The sequence below is a fragment of the Homo sapiens genome, chromosome 9, assembly GCF_000001405.40.
Source record: "Homo sapiens chromosome 9, GRCh38.p14 Primary Assembly".
NCBI classification, from domain to species: domain Eukaryota; kingdom Metazoa; phylum Chordata; class Mammalia; order Primates; family Hominidae; genus Homo; species Homo sapiens.
In genome coordinates this window covers 26082309-26097264 of record NC_000009.12, presented here as the reverse complement: position 1 = coordinate 26097264, position 14956 = coordinate 26082309, and the positions used below count along the sequence as shown (strand labels likewise).

General features: G+C 34.0%; 1 long non-coding RNA gene across 1 annotated transcript in view; it reads right to left on the bottom strand.

The window, feature by feature from the left end:
- Positions 1 to 14956, bottom strand: part of LINC03106 (long intergenic non-protein coding RNA 3106) — a 51734-nt gene that overhangs the window by 21144 nt on the left and 15634 nt on the right. Inside the window, exons 2-3 of the long non-coding RNA NR_170894.1 lie at positions 4818 to 4904; positions 2638 to 2772 (exon numbers count right to left, since the gene is read on the bottom strand). This is a non-coding gene — a long non-coding RNA (long intergenic non-protein coding RNA 3106). The remainder of the gene's footprint in view (positions 1 to 2637; positions 2773 to 4817; positions 4905 to 14956) is intronic.

Below are 14956 nucleotides of genomic sequence, written 5' to 3'. Positions count from 1 at the left end.
CCATTACTCTGGTTAATTTGGTGTAATTAAGAACACCAAAACCATGAAACACTGTTTATTTGTGAAACTTTATTTGTATATACATTATTATGTTTAATGCATAGAATATATTTGAGTCAGTGATGGAAGGAAATGTAATGAAGAGGTAAGTAAAGACCAAATCTTTAAGGATATTGCAGGCCAAGCTAAGGCTTGTGAATTTTATCCTTAGGCTGTGGATACAATGGCCATACATTTCAGTTTGACTAGAGCAGTTCCAATCTATGCCATTTGTTATAGAGTAACTTTTAATATCACCACTTTTCATTCAAAAAATTACTGATTTGGAGGATCCTAGGGGTATGGTGGTAGTAGCAAAACAGATTTTGAGCGACTTCAAATCCTCATGTAAAAATAGACAGATCAATCAGATATTAAGACCAACAATGGGTGAAAAACATTTGCAACACAATTAGGTGAGAAAGTATCCTTGTGAATCACAGATTACAAGACATAAGGAATAAAACACTACTGGCTACGTGATTCTTGTCATATTAGAGTCTGTGCAGGACTTGAGAACAGGAGATTTGTAAAAGGATCAACAGATATTCCATGGAAATCCTCATTGGTGAATCTGAGGCCAGAGTCTTAGGAAATCTTATCAGATCTTGGGTAATTTGGGATGAATTTTGTCCAATCCCATATAGGGTGGTTACATGGGACACTGAAGAGATTTGAAGGGGCTAAAGCATACCAGACCCTATGATTCCTAAACCTTAACCAGCCTGGTTTCTCTTACATGATGTAGGACCACACTGAGGAGTAGTTGCTGAAATGGTATCAAAATTAAGTAGAATAGGGAGAGGACAGATGAAGGAAAGAGAACAACCAAGTAAAACTGAAGTAGGGTTACAAAGGTAGGAAATTTTAGAAGGCCAAAAAGCAAGGAGTTTTGTTTGTTTGTTTCTTTGTTTTAACACTGTGAAAACAGCAGAAAATGGAGCTTTGTGAAAGTGGAAAAGGTATCCTTAACAAATCACCACTTAAAAGTTCAGGAAACACATTGAACGATAGGAAAGTATTGAAGTAAAATTTCCTTTGAAGTCATCATAAGGAAAAATAAAATTAAGAGTAAAATGGCATTTCTTCCATGAAAGTACTACAAAAAGCAGAGAGGCACACCCAAAATGAATCCATACTGTAGCCTATCATTTGCTAAGTTACCTAAAAGATATTAGGAAAATAACACAAAACATGAAAGACCAACATCAACCAGAAAAATCCTCAGAAATGAGATAATGAAAGTCTATAAATAATTAGAAATGAAATAAAAGTTTTTAATAAGTGGGTACTAAACTAGAGAAAACACATGACCAAATAAATAGAACAGAGAGTGACTTAAGAGAAATAGAATGTGAAAAGGTGGAAATTTCTAAAAAATAAAGAGAAATCGGATAGATAACTTCTTCTACCCAAGATGGACTAACAAGAATTGAACTTACATTCTTACATTCTTAGTATAAAAAATAGATAGAAAATAAAATAAGATACATTAAAAATTCATTTTAGATATTAGAAAGCAGGAAAAAGAAAACTATGATTCCTGAGAAAAGAAAAAAACAAACAAGGTAGCCATACAGTTGACTTGGATTCCTGCCTAAGGTACGTTCTAGACCATGGTGCATGAAGGGGTATCCTAAACAGAGCACAGCAGTTTTACTCAGTTGAGGAAACAGAGATCAAACTTTAAGAAGTTGAACTGGCTAAATATTTTAGATCAGAGTTTCAGAAAAGAAGGAGCTACAACATTAAAACAAAACCAAAACCAAAAAATGACCTAAAAATTTGCACTGGGACATCTTGGGACTAAGACTCAGGAATGAATAGCATGAAATGCCACAAGGTTGGACAAAAATCGACACGGCAGCTATAAGTTTAATAATTTTCAACTCTTATTGCAAAACATGGAATTAATGTAATCTTAGAGCTTCAGTAAGTCAGGATCTACAATCCTCACTGATTGACTAGGGTTTGTGACAGATTCCCAGAATCATCATGCCCTATTTTAGGACTGCAACTAGATTTAAAGTAGAGCATAGTCTAAACTCTACAACAAAGACTAAGAACAAACATTAAATTAATAAATATGAGCTGCAAGTAGTTTAACTGCTTCTGAGATCAAAGCCAAACACATTATAAGAGTAGAAAACAAAATTGATACACTCTATAATGTAATATTTGCAATGCTTAACACTCACCAATCAAATATTGACTAATCAAAACTATTTTTGACAAAACTGATAATTTTGCCAAAAAGTGGGAGAATGTTACCCCCAACTGGGAGAGATATAAATCATGCCTCAGATGTAACAGAAATGATGGAATTTCAGACAAGAATTTTATTTTATTTATTATTATTATTATTTATTTGTTTTCAGGTAGGGTCTTGCCCTGTCACCTAGGACAGTGGCACAAACTTGGCTCACTGCAACCTCTACCTCTGGGGCTCAAGCCATCCTCCCACCTCTATGTCCTTAGTGGCTGGGACTATATGTGCACACCACCATGCCCAGCTAATTTTTGTATTTTTGGTAGATGGGGCTTTTGGCATGTTGCCCAGGTTGGTCTTCAACTCCTGAGCTCAAGTGATCTACTCACCTTGGCCTCCCCAAGTGCTGGGATTACAGGCATGAGCCACTGATTCCAGCCCAGGCAATAATTTTAAAACAGTAGTTATAAATATAATCAATATCCTCCAAATTAAATATGAATATAATGAAAAGCCAAATGGAACTGCAAAATAAAAGAAAATAGAGCCGTTAGAGATGAAAATACAATATTTATAATAAAAATCCCTGCATGAGACTGAAACAATAATACACAATGAAAAAATAAATCAGTGCATTTTAAAATATAAGCAAATAAGCTATCTAAAATAAAGTACACAGAGGAAAATTAAGAACAACAAAAAGCAACATCTCAGTGACCAGTGGGAAAATTATCAAATAATCCAAAATTCAGGTAATTGGGATCTCAGAAGGGGAAGAACTATGGGTTCCTCTAGCTTTCCTAGTTCTACCAAGCATAAAAAATAATACTGATTTCACACAAACTCTTCCAAAACATAGAAAAGAAGGGACCAATTCCCATGTCATTTTATGAAGACAGCATTACCCTGATACTAAAAATAGATTTAAAACATCAAAAGGAAAGAAACCATATATCATTTTTGCTCCAAGCATAGAACTAAAATTTGTTAACAAAATATTACCAAATTGCAGCAGTATATATTTAAAAAATCACACCATGCTCAAGTGGAGTTTACCTCCAACATCAAAAGTTAGCCTTATTTTAAATGAAAAATCAATGCAATTATCATATTAACTGAAAAAGCAATAAAAAGTTCATCTCAATAAAGACAGGAAAAGTGTTTGAAAAACTTAATATCCATAAATGAGGAAAGCTTTCCTTATGCTAGGAATAGAAGAGAAATTCCTCAATCCGATAAAGAGAATCTACAGAACATCTACAGCTAACATCATCTTTAATAGTAAAAAAGGAATGTTTTCCTCCTAATATCATAAACAAGGTAAGTATGTATTCTCTCATTTTTCTATTGAGCATTACACTGAGCATCCTAGCCCACTAAGAATTGGAAGGGGAGTTAGTAAAAAGCAAACCATTTTGAAATAAAATAATTTTCGAAAATTTTTAGGTGACATAATCATACATGCATATGTGCTAAAAAGTCTGCCAAAAAACTACAAGAATTAAAAAATTAATTTACTGAGCTCATGGTGTACAAGGTCAATGAGAGAAAGTCCAGTTGTATTTCTTTATGCTGGCAATGAATAAATAGAAATTAAAATTTTCAGATACCAGTTTCAATGGAATAAAACTGAAATAATTAGGCATAAATTTAGCAAATTATTTAAAAGGTCTTAAAACTATAGAATTTTGCTCAAAAAAATTTAAAAAAGACCTAAATCAATTGAGACTTACCATATTCAGGTAAGATTTGGTAATTTATAAATAAAAAAGGTTTAGTTAACTCACACTTTTGCATAACTTGGAAGGCCTCAGGAAACTTAAAATCATGGTGGAAGACAAAGCAGAAGCAAGCACCTTCTTCACAAGGCGGCAGAAGAGAGAGAGCAGGAGCAGGGGCAAGCACTAGACTTTTATCAAAAAAAAAAGAAACACAAAAACAAAAACCAAAAAACCGGATCTTGTGAGAACTCCCTTACTATCACAGAACAGCATGAGGGAAATTGCCCTCAAGATCCAATCACCTCCCAGCAGGTCCCTCCCTAGACACGTGGGGAATTACAATTTGAGATTAGATTTGGGTGGGGGTCACAGAGCCAAACCATATCAGATGTTAAATTATTCTATAGATACAACACAATTTCTATAAACATACTAGCAAGCCTTCTTGAAGATATTTATTTATGAACTTATTTTGAAATCTGTATGAAAATACAAGTCACCTAGGATAGTGAAAACACTTCTGGGAAAAGAAGAACATAGTTGCCAGCTTACATTAATATTTGGCTTAAGGATTCAAGAGGAGATAGGTCTGAAATAAGCTCAAACATATTGGGTACATTGATTTTGTTTTGTTTTGTTTTTTAATTTTTACAAATAGACAAGGAGTAGAGAAAATGGCAATTATTGAATATATGTGCTAAGAAGACCCTTCATACGCATAATAGATGTATCAGAAGAAAAAGTACAATAAAAAACTAAAATGTCATTTGATATATATATAAACTTTTGATGTATATATACACACACACACAAACATATACATACGTATGAAAAAACATACTCCATACCTGAGAATATTGCCCCAGAATGACCAACATCAAGAGATGTTCTGTGAATAACTAGTGAAATAACTGGAAAAAATATCCTTTGGATATCTAGGCAAAAAGAAAAGGTGACTTATAAGAAAATGAAAATTTAGTAACTTTTAGTCTTGTTAACAGTAATAATTCCAGATGACATGGAACCAACACATTTAAAATACTCAAAGAAAAAAATGTGAGCCAAGGATTTTATATTTAGCAAAATCTATAGTATAGTAGGATCAAAAAATTATTAAAGTAAAATGAAATAGGGAATACTTTCCCAATGAACTCTTCCTCAGGAATCTACTAGATAAGAAGCTTCAGACAACCAAAATAATAGACAGAGATAGACTTATGAATAGGTCATGAATGTCAACTATATGGTTACTTATAAAACTATGAATAAATGAAAGTTCAATTAATAGAGATAGAGTACAGTATGTGATGGCTATTTTTTTATGATATAGATATCATGCTATATTTACAAATGGGGGAAGAAGAAGGTATACAAAAATGTAACTAGTTTCAGGTATTATAAAAGATATAGTAATATTAATATTGAACTTTCATATCTGTTTTTTGGTATTACAGAATGTGTTAGTTTGCTAGAGCTGCCAAAACAAAATACCACAAACTGGTTAGCTTAAACAACAGAAATTCATTGCCTCACATTTCTTCAGTCTAGAAGCCTGAAATCTAGGTGTCAGCATGATTGGTTCCTTCTCAAGTCTCTGAGGAAGACTCTGTTCCATGGTTTCTCTTAGCCTCTGGCTAGCCCCAGGTTTTCTTTGGCTATTAGATGGGGTTCTTCCTGTGTCTTCACATTGTCTTCTCTCTCTGTTTCTCTGTCTTTGTGTCCAAATTTCATATTTTTATAAGGACACAGTCGTATTTGATTAGGGCCCACTCTAATGACCTCATCTTAACTTCATCATCTGCAGAGACCCTATTTCCAAATAAGGCCACATTCACAGGTATTGGCAGTTATGACTTCAACATCTTTTGGGAGGCACAATTCAACTCATAAAATGAAATAAAGCAAATTATTAATCACAGGAAATTTTAATCTATGGTAACTTTAACCTAGAAAAACAGGATTGTCAGTGTGCAAAAACGAGATATAGATCTAACATAGATTATTAATCATGGGAAATTTTAATCTATTCTAACTTTAGCCTAGAAAACCAGGATTCTCAGTGTGGAAAAAAGGAGATATAGATCTAATATAGTTGTAAAGCTTATTGTCCCAATTTTGTATCAGTTTAATCTCAAGTAGGTGTGTGTCCATAGCCCTAGCACACAGAGCATATTTAGCATTACATTTACCTCCTGAAGCATATGTACCTTTGCAAATTATCCAGTTATTAATAAAATTTAGTAGTGAACACTGTGGCGCAAGTGAATGCAGAAGATTGTCTGATAGTCGCTGTCTATTTTGCAAACTCCTTTGATTGGGCTCCTTAGCTTTATAGTACTTTTCTCATGTATCACATACATCAGTCCATTTTAAATATCTTAATTTAGTAAAGGCTGAAAAAGAAGACTTTAATGGATGCATGGATCAGTATCAGGGACAGAACTGAAAACTTTCAGGGCCTGAGACTTGCATTTCACTGGTCTATGGTAATGAATTCATGAGTTTGGATCTAAAGTATTGATTTTATGATTAAAGTTTTCTTCCCCCAATGCTATCCAAATAATAATAGAAAGCATAGGAAACGGAATTTAAAAATGTGCAAAAAAAGTGAGTGTGTCTTACAGTAGATCTGTAAAATATAGCATGGATTTTTCTTCACAGAGTAACTTTTGAGAATAAATGGGTGTAAACTTTGAACTGTGAGTCGCTCAACTCAAGCACTTAAAAAAAAAAGTTTGATTTTGGCTGCATCTATACACAAAGTTTGATGATTTGACCAATTGTTTGCTATTTCCAACAATCTACAGCACAATTGGTCACTAATATGTAGAGAAATTCATGAATAACAAAATAGGAATACATCTTTGCTGTGATATGGAATGAGGATAGTGCTAGAATAGGCATAGTTCCTTATCGCCATGATGAGCAAGTTATTTAGCATGTTAGAGAAACAATATTAGCAAACTTTGCTCACCAAACACTAAGTTGCCTCATCCCAGCATACCTCAATAAGAAACCCAAAGAAGATACTTTGGGAAATGTATTCAAGAGGAAAATTTAGTCTTTTAATATTAACTAATACTAATTATGGGTATCTCAAGTTATCATGTTTGGAGATAGAAACTCTAGTTACTGATTATTGATTACTATAGTCTTTTCTTATCTTTAAATCCTCACTGCAATTCCTTTGTCCTTCTCTTTTTGTACATTTAATATTTTCTCTTAAATATATTTATACATTAATTTTATGATTGTTATTGCTATCTATCATTTTTTGTGTATTATGTATTCGATTTTCTTTTAAAATAATTTATATATATTCTTAAATAGCACCCCAAACACTCCTCTGATATGGGTACTATTTTATTCTCATTTTAAGTTGATGAAACTGTGGCATTGAAAATATAGGTAATTTGCTGAAGTTCACAAACAGACAGACTGATATCATTTTGAGAGCATAATTAGAGTTTTACCTATTTTCGTATACCCTATATTACATTTTTGTATACCCTTGCTCTAAGTTGTTACTTCAAGATCAACACCCAGGAAATGTTCTGGGTAGGCTGATTCTTGATGAATAAGTAGATGTTTTCCAGGTTGACAGAGTGGGAAAAGACTTTCCAGGCAGAAGCAATCACAGAGTCCAGCAGATGAAAACCGTCAACTGCTTTATTCTAGTGATATAGATGTATACCTGATGCATGCCTATTATTACATATGGGAAAGGAAATACTTATTTATGAAAGTTTTGACATGAAACAGTAGTATTATGATAACTATATAAATTTGTGTCTACTCTCTACTTGGAAAAGACATAGAGGAGAGTTGTAATCTCTTTCAGTCTATGAATATAGTACACTGAATTTAGACTATTTAGATTACAGTTGATATGGGATAGAGATGGAATTACATTAAGATTTTTATAATCATAATGGTTGTGCACTGACTATATATTTCATAATGTAATGAATATAATAACATTTATCCTAACAATAGAACACATATGAAATATCATGGTATGTACTTAATACAGAGAATATTAGTTTAGCTCAAAATATCTGATAAGGACATATTAATTCATGATGTAATTAAGAAAGTTATTCAAGTATAATGATTTCAACTTTCTAAACATTCTGAAATAGAAATATAACATCCCAAGCTATTTAAAATGTAATTTAGAGAATTATTGTGTCTTTTTCTCAGTAAGGAAATACACATACACATTTATTATTCATCTTCAAGAAGGTCAATTGACATGTCTGAACTTGTAAGTCATTCAATGAAAGACAATATAATAAAGTAACTTTTTTATATTGGGCTATGATCAAGTCTTAAAATTAATTCCTATTTTTTCCATAGATAGAACATCATGGGAATTCTTGAAGGATGCCAGAACTAATAACCATTCTGGTAATTCATGAAACAAAAGCAATATATGATTTTATTCTCATTAAATCTTGTACTAGAGTAATTGAAATGACATTGAGCAGCAATTAGCCCAATAGCTCCTAGGAATACCTAAAGAAAAGATGCAGAGTAAATGTTCTTCAGGCATGAAGGGTAAGTGGGAAGGCTAAAAGTGGCAGTAGATATTTCAGAAATGAAAAAAAGTTTAAAGTTTTGGCTCAAGGGCAGTTTGAAGTTATAATGAGTCATAAAAAGTCTGATGCCATGTGTATACAAGTATTTTTTCATATAATAACTGTGTTGGTGTTGGAAGAATTTCTTAGACATTTTCAGCATATAATCGTGATGTTCAAACTGTAGCTTACACTATTTTAACTCATAGATTTTAGTAGACACATTTGACTTAAGAAGGTAATGAAATTACATTCCATTTGGTGGTTTTGGTCTTAATTTACTAAGTGAGACCCTACCAGATTAAGAGTTAACGTTGCTTCTTTCTTCTAAAATAGATTCTAAAACTTGTTAAATGGGGGCCAGTAGTAAGGACAAAATAGAGAAACAGAAAATCCTAGCTTCTTAATATTGTTCTTCCTCTTATTTAACCCAAGCACTCCATTAAACACTTTCAGATCTTCTGCATCCTTATTTTTTCTGTCCCTGAAATCTTTACTAAAACCTGCTTTCTGGAATAAATCAGATAGTAGTGATTTAAAGCAGTGTCTGCATGAAGACAAACTGGGTACAAGGTAGTAACATTTACGTATCCTTTCGGAATCCATCCAAATACGCTTTTATATGTCTATGCATTAAATGTCAGTAGAAAATTAAGTCCTTGTGTTTTCTGCCAAAGAATATTTGTATTTCATTATGCCTGCTGAATAAAAAGTTTTATTCTTTATAGAAAGAAATTTATTGACCATTAATGAAAGCAGTCCAGTATTTGCTTCCTGTTACTCACAAAGTTAGACCAAATGTTGACGCTCTTCACTTGTGCTTTTTTATCTAATCTAAGTTTCTTCTATCAGCAAATAAAGTACAGATTTTTGTTGCCCCCTCTTTTCTTCTTTCATAAACTATAGGAGAGTTTATAAAACTCTTATCTTTTTCCATATTCTATCAAAGACATAAAGACTCATTTATTGCCTTAAACTGTGGTAGATAGGGCATTGAAAATTGATGCCGAGGCAGTGGATGAATTTTGCAGCATGAATGGAGTATTTTGGGCAGACTCTGGTAATCCAACCAATATTTTAAGTGAAAACATTGGTTATCATAGGAAAGATATAGCTGTATTGATTTACTTTATAGGACAGTATGGTCAGAGCCACAAAACCATATACCCATCTTTAGAGCAAACATACATTCTGTTTATTCCTCTTCATTGCTGTTATTGGAAGGATTGTTCTGTGGTCTTGATATATTTTTCACATTTAATCTTTCTAACTGGTTTACATAATGGTTATCCTCTGCTTCACTGCACTTTAGTGTTTTGGTTTTACTATAGGGTATATAGCTTTATTGAAGAAGACATGGAAGGTTTAATAATTAAAAAGGAGATTAAAACAAAATGGAAGAAAACTTTTCATTGAATTTCTGAGTAGTTTATGGAACCCATGTTATGGAAGATTATGAATGGCATTTCATTCTCCATGAGCGCTAATTATTCTACCTTCAGATAATTTTTTTGTGCTTTCTCACTTTCCAGGAATCCTTAAAATAAACCATTGTCATCTAAGATAGTATGAGCCCCCTGTTTCCTTGTAATCTGACAGACAGAACTAAATGCAATGATGCTTCCTTCATACTTATTTTCTGTCAACTTCCCCTCCCACTGGACAAAAGTTATCTACCTTCAATTGTAAATTGTCAATTGTATATTCACGAACCTGAAAATTTTCTGTATTCAGAAAACTGGGTTATGTTATTTGAAGGCAATGGGTACAAGTATATGCTTCCTTGGATGCTTCGATGACACTGAATATTCTGCATCTTTCTGAGACTTCTATGTTCATTTTTTTTCCTTTTTCTTTTTTTTTTTTTTTTTTTTTTGAGATGGAGTCTTATTCTATCATCCAGGCTGGAGTGCAGTGGTGCAATTACAGCTCACTACAGCCTCAACCTCCCAGGCTCAGGTAGTCCCAAGTAGTTGGGACTGCAGGTAGGCACCACCACAACCAGCTAATTCTTTGTTTTTGTTTTGCTTTTTGTAGCAAAGAGGTTTCACCATTTGCCAGAGCTGGTCTCAAACTCCTGGGCCCAAGCTATCTACCACCTCAGCCTCCCAAAGTGCTAGGATTAAGGGTTTGAGCCACCCTGCCTGACCTTCTTTGTTAATTACTCAGTATCTTGAAAACGTAGGGTTAAACAACTTGAGTTGTCACCCTCTTATCATATCTTTGATATTGTCTTCTAGCTGCTACTTGAATGCCTCTAGTGAGGGAAGATCACTTTTTAAGAGGTAGATGATGATAATTTGTTTCCTTCACTAGTTCTGGGCACTCTAGAAACTGAAAAGAAATCCACTCCCTCTTTGACATGGAGAGCCTCAACTATTTGGAAAATGTTTTCAGTTTATCTGAAGTGTTTTTTAAAGCAATGTCTTCAGTTCTTTTCATTAATTTCACTTAAGAATATGTGAATACTGATTTATTTTTAATGGCATTTATTTGTATTTCGATGTCTTCTTGTCTGTTAATAGTCCTGTTAAATGTGGTACCTGGTTTGATATCTTTAAAGACAGAAAGGAAGCTAACACTGAGTTCCAATGACACATCAAGCATTGTATGCTTTATATACGTCATTTTATGAACTCTTTTTTTTTTAAATAGGGGACGCACCATGGTTCATGGGGGTACAACTTACATTTAGTAAAATGCATTAATCTAAAATGTGCAGCTCAATAAATTTTTACATCCTGGTAATCACTACCCAGATCCAAATATAGACTATTTCCAGCCTATCTGAAATTTCCTAGTGCTTCCTCCCAATCAAGGCCCATCACCCCAAAGGTAACAATAATTCTGATCTTGATCACCAGAGTAAGCGTTGTCTATTTTTGAACTTCATATAAAAGAATCATACAGTATGGACCCTTTAGTGTATTTTTTATTATTATTTTTATCAGTTTTTTTAATAATGTACTTTTGCTGGCAGCACATGCTTTAACCTTTGGCTTAGGTGAAAATTCTTTCCATCAGCTCATTTGAAAGATAATTAGGTTGTATATAGAATTATGGGTTTGTAGAAACCTGTATCTATTAAATGATCTCATTGTTTTCTGTTCTTTATAGTTTCTTATGAGAAGTTAGCTGTAATTAATATTATCATGTGTCTTTTTCCTCTGGCCATTTTCAAGATCTTTTGAATAATTTTTGGTTTCCTACCTATTGACCTTAATGCATCTGGGGATGCTTATCCTTATTGTTATCCTACTTGGGGTTTGCTGAATTTCCTTGATATGCAGTTTGTGTTTCATCCAATTTGATACATGTTTATCCATTCTTTTTAAAAATATATTTTCTGTCTCATTTGCACTTTATATATCTTTGTGGAATTACAATTCCACGTATATTATTTAGTTTAATGTTGTCCTATAGGTCACTGAAGTTCTGTTCTCTTTGTATTTTTATTTATTTTCCTCTCTGCTCTTCAGATAGGATGATTTATGTTTACATGTCTTCAGGTTCACTGAGCATCTTTTCTGTTGTCTCCAAGTTTTTACGAATTTAATTCAGAAATTTATCTATTTCAGATATTATCCTTTTAAATACTAGAATTTGAGTTGTGTTCTTTTTTATTATTTTGTTTTAGAATATAAATTCTCTTGAGATTTGTTTGTGTTGATTGCTTTTTCTCTTGACTGTGGTATATGTAGTTTCCATCAGTAAAACTCTAAGGTAATATCCAAGCCACTCTAACTTGGTGATATGCAAGTTCCAGACAAAGTCTTCTGTAATGGATGACAACTGAAGCTTATGTCCAGATTCAACTGGGGTCCTTAGATTCTTTTTCCACATATAATTCAAGGGTCTTTCAATTATTTGAGGGATTTCTAGGAGAGTTAGGCTTGCTCCCCAACTCTCAGATCACTCTTCCTAGAATTTAATACCTCAATTGCTAGCTTCTTTTGTGGCCTGAACTCAGTACTTTGACCTCTCAAGTCAATAAGACTGTAAGTTTCCTTTTGAGTGCAAAGGACCCCTTATTATGTAGTTTGTTGAGTGCTTTAAAGAGAAAGGCTGAATTAGTGTAGCTCTCACCTTGTGCAATTTACTTCTAGGAAAGACTGAATTTCCTGTACTTTCTCCCTGATATTCTTTGCTTCCCAGTGCCTTTAAAGAGTTATACATGTGTTAATATTTGTCCAGAGTTTACAATCACTATTTGTTAGTGGATTTGTCCAACATCAGCTACATTGAATTTAGAACCAGAATCTTAAGATGTGGAGTTTTAATTATCTTGGGTAAGTAAAACCAGACTTTGGGCCTATGAGATAGGCCTAGACTTTCCCCACAGCATCTGAAACTGCCCTATTGTGCTGTAGGCATCAATAAATGTTGGCTGATTTAAAGTTAATTAAATCTGAGCAATTGAGCAATATTGGAGAAAATGATACCACAAAGCAGATTGATAATCACTATAAATTGATGATCACTTGCTTCAAGTATGTCCAAAACATTGCCTGACAATTTCACTATACTTCTTGTTTTCAATTCATTCTCTCATTTTTATAATAATAATTTCAAACTTTCCCATGCTCCTTAGGTCTCTAGCAATCTTTCCCTATAAAGCCCACTGTCCCCATCACTATTACTATATAACTTTGCTTTTTGCTGTATAGCGATTAATAATATCATCAGAAATAAGTGCTTTCAGCTTTTTGGCAGCAACCCTACAACTTACATGTATCTGTCTGCAACACAAAAGGTGATTGGAACAGTGATTGGCACATAATAAGCATTAAGTAATAGCAGTCGTCTTTACCATACCATCATGGTAGCATTATTATATGTATCAATGTTTTCATTATTGTATATATTTTATATTGTTATCTAACATCTTTTTCTCAATTCCTTCACTTGTATCTCCAACCGTATTCTCTCTTGAGTGCTCAGACATTTTATATTATCATTTGACCTTCTCCTCTCTCTTATGTTCAATTGGATTGTTATAATCTGTATATGTATGTATGTAAGTATTATCATGTATCATCTCTTCAAACAAGTTTATTCTATTAAAAAAAAAAACCCTTTCTTCTCTATGCACATCTTTTCAACCTAGGTCCTTTTTTTCCCTCTTCAGTGTTTCCCAAGGAAAATTCCTCAGTAAATTATCTGTACTTGAAGTCTATATTTTCTCACAGCTTACTCCCTCCATAACCCGATCTACTAAACTGACACTATCAAAACTTCTCTCCCTATGCCGACACATGACCTAAATTAATCATAGTCAATAAATATTTTATAGTTGTAGTATACTGTAAGAGACATATCATGGCTCTAAGATTAATGATAGTCATGAGGACAACCCAAGTGTCTCACTGGATTGACACTACATGTCACTTACAGTATCGTGCAACCCGTCCCTGGGATTTCCAACCCTGGCATGGGGATTTCAGGAGACCAGGCCACTTCAGGACAGGTGCAACTTTCATAAACCTTAAAAAGTTTACCCTTACAAGAAATGCTTAAATTCCATTTATGAAAGAAACACCTGGTAATGGACCCAGACTGAATACAGGTGTAAGAAAAGGGGACGAATCCCATAAACTCTTAGAATGGTCTCCAGATGGAGACACTTCAGTCACTGGGTCATCTGACCCCCTGACTGCATTCGGCTCATGCCACTGACCTGCTGCCGCTATTCATCTTGTGAAAGTGCTGCCAAAACAAACTGAACATGAGATGGTGCTTACATCACATCTTTGGCACAAATGAGATTGAAGGGGGGAAGTTGCTCCTGGGAAATCTGGTCAACTAGGACCACTGGAGACCCCTGAACATTACAAGTCTTTACCTTACTTGATCTCACAAAAAGCTTGGCCAGGCACGGTTGCTGGCGCCTGTAATCCCAGCACTTTGGGAGGCCGAGGCAGACAGATCATGAGGTCAGGAGATTGAGATCATCCTGGCCAATGTGGTGAAACTGCGTCTCTACTAAAAATACAAAAATTAGCTGGGTGTGGTGGTGCATGCCTCTAATCCCAGCTACTCGGGAGACTGAGGCCTAAGAATCGCCTGAACCAAGGAGGCAGAGGTTGCAGTGAGCCAAGATCATGCCACTGCACTCCAGCCTGGCGACAGAGCGAGACTCCGTCTCAAAAAAAAAAAACAAAAACACTTGACACAGGGAAGCACTCTACCTCTGAAAACCTAGTTTTCTCTTGGGTTCTGAAACATGAAACTTCTCTCTTCTTTCGTATTTATCTACGAATGCTTCTTATTTATTTTTCTTTCACACTAATAACATGTTAAATTCCTCCAGGTCCTCTTACTTTAAACCTGCTGCCTAGGCAATTTCATCTACACTATAGGCATTACCTGTCATCTACTTCACAATGATCTCTCCCCAGTTCTTTTCA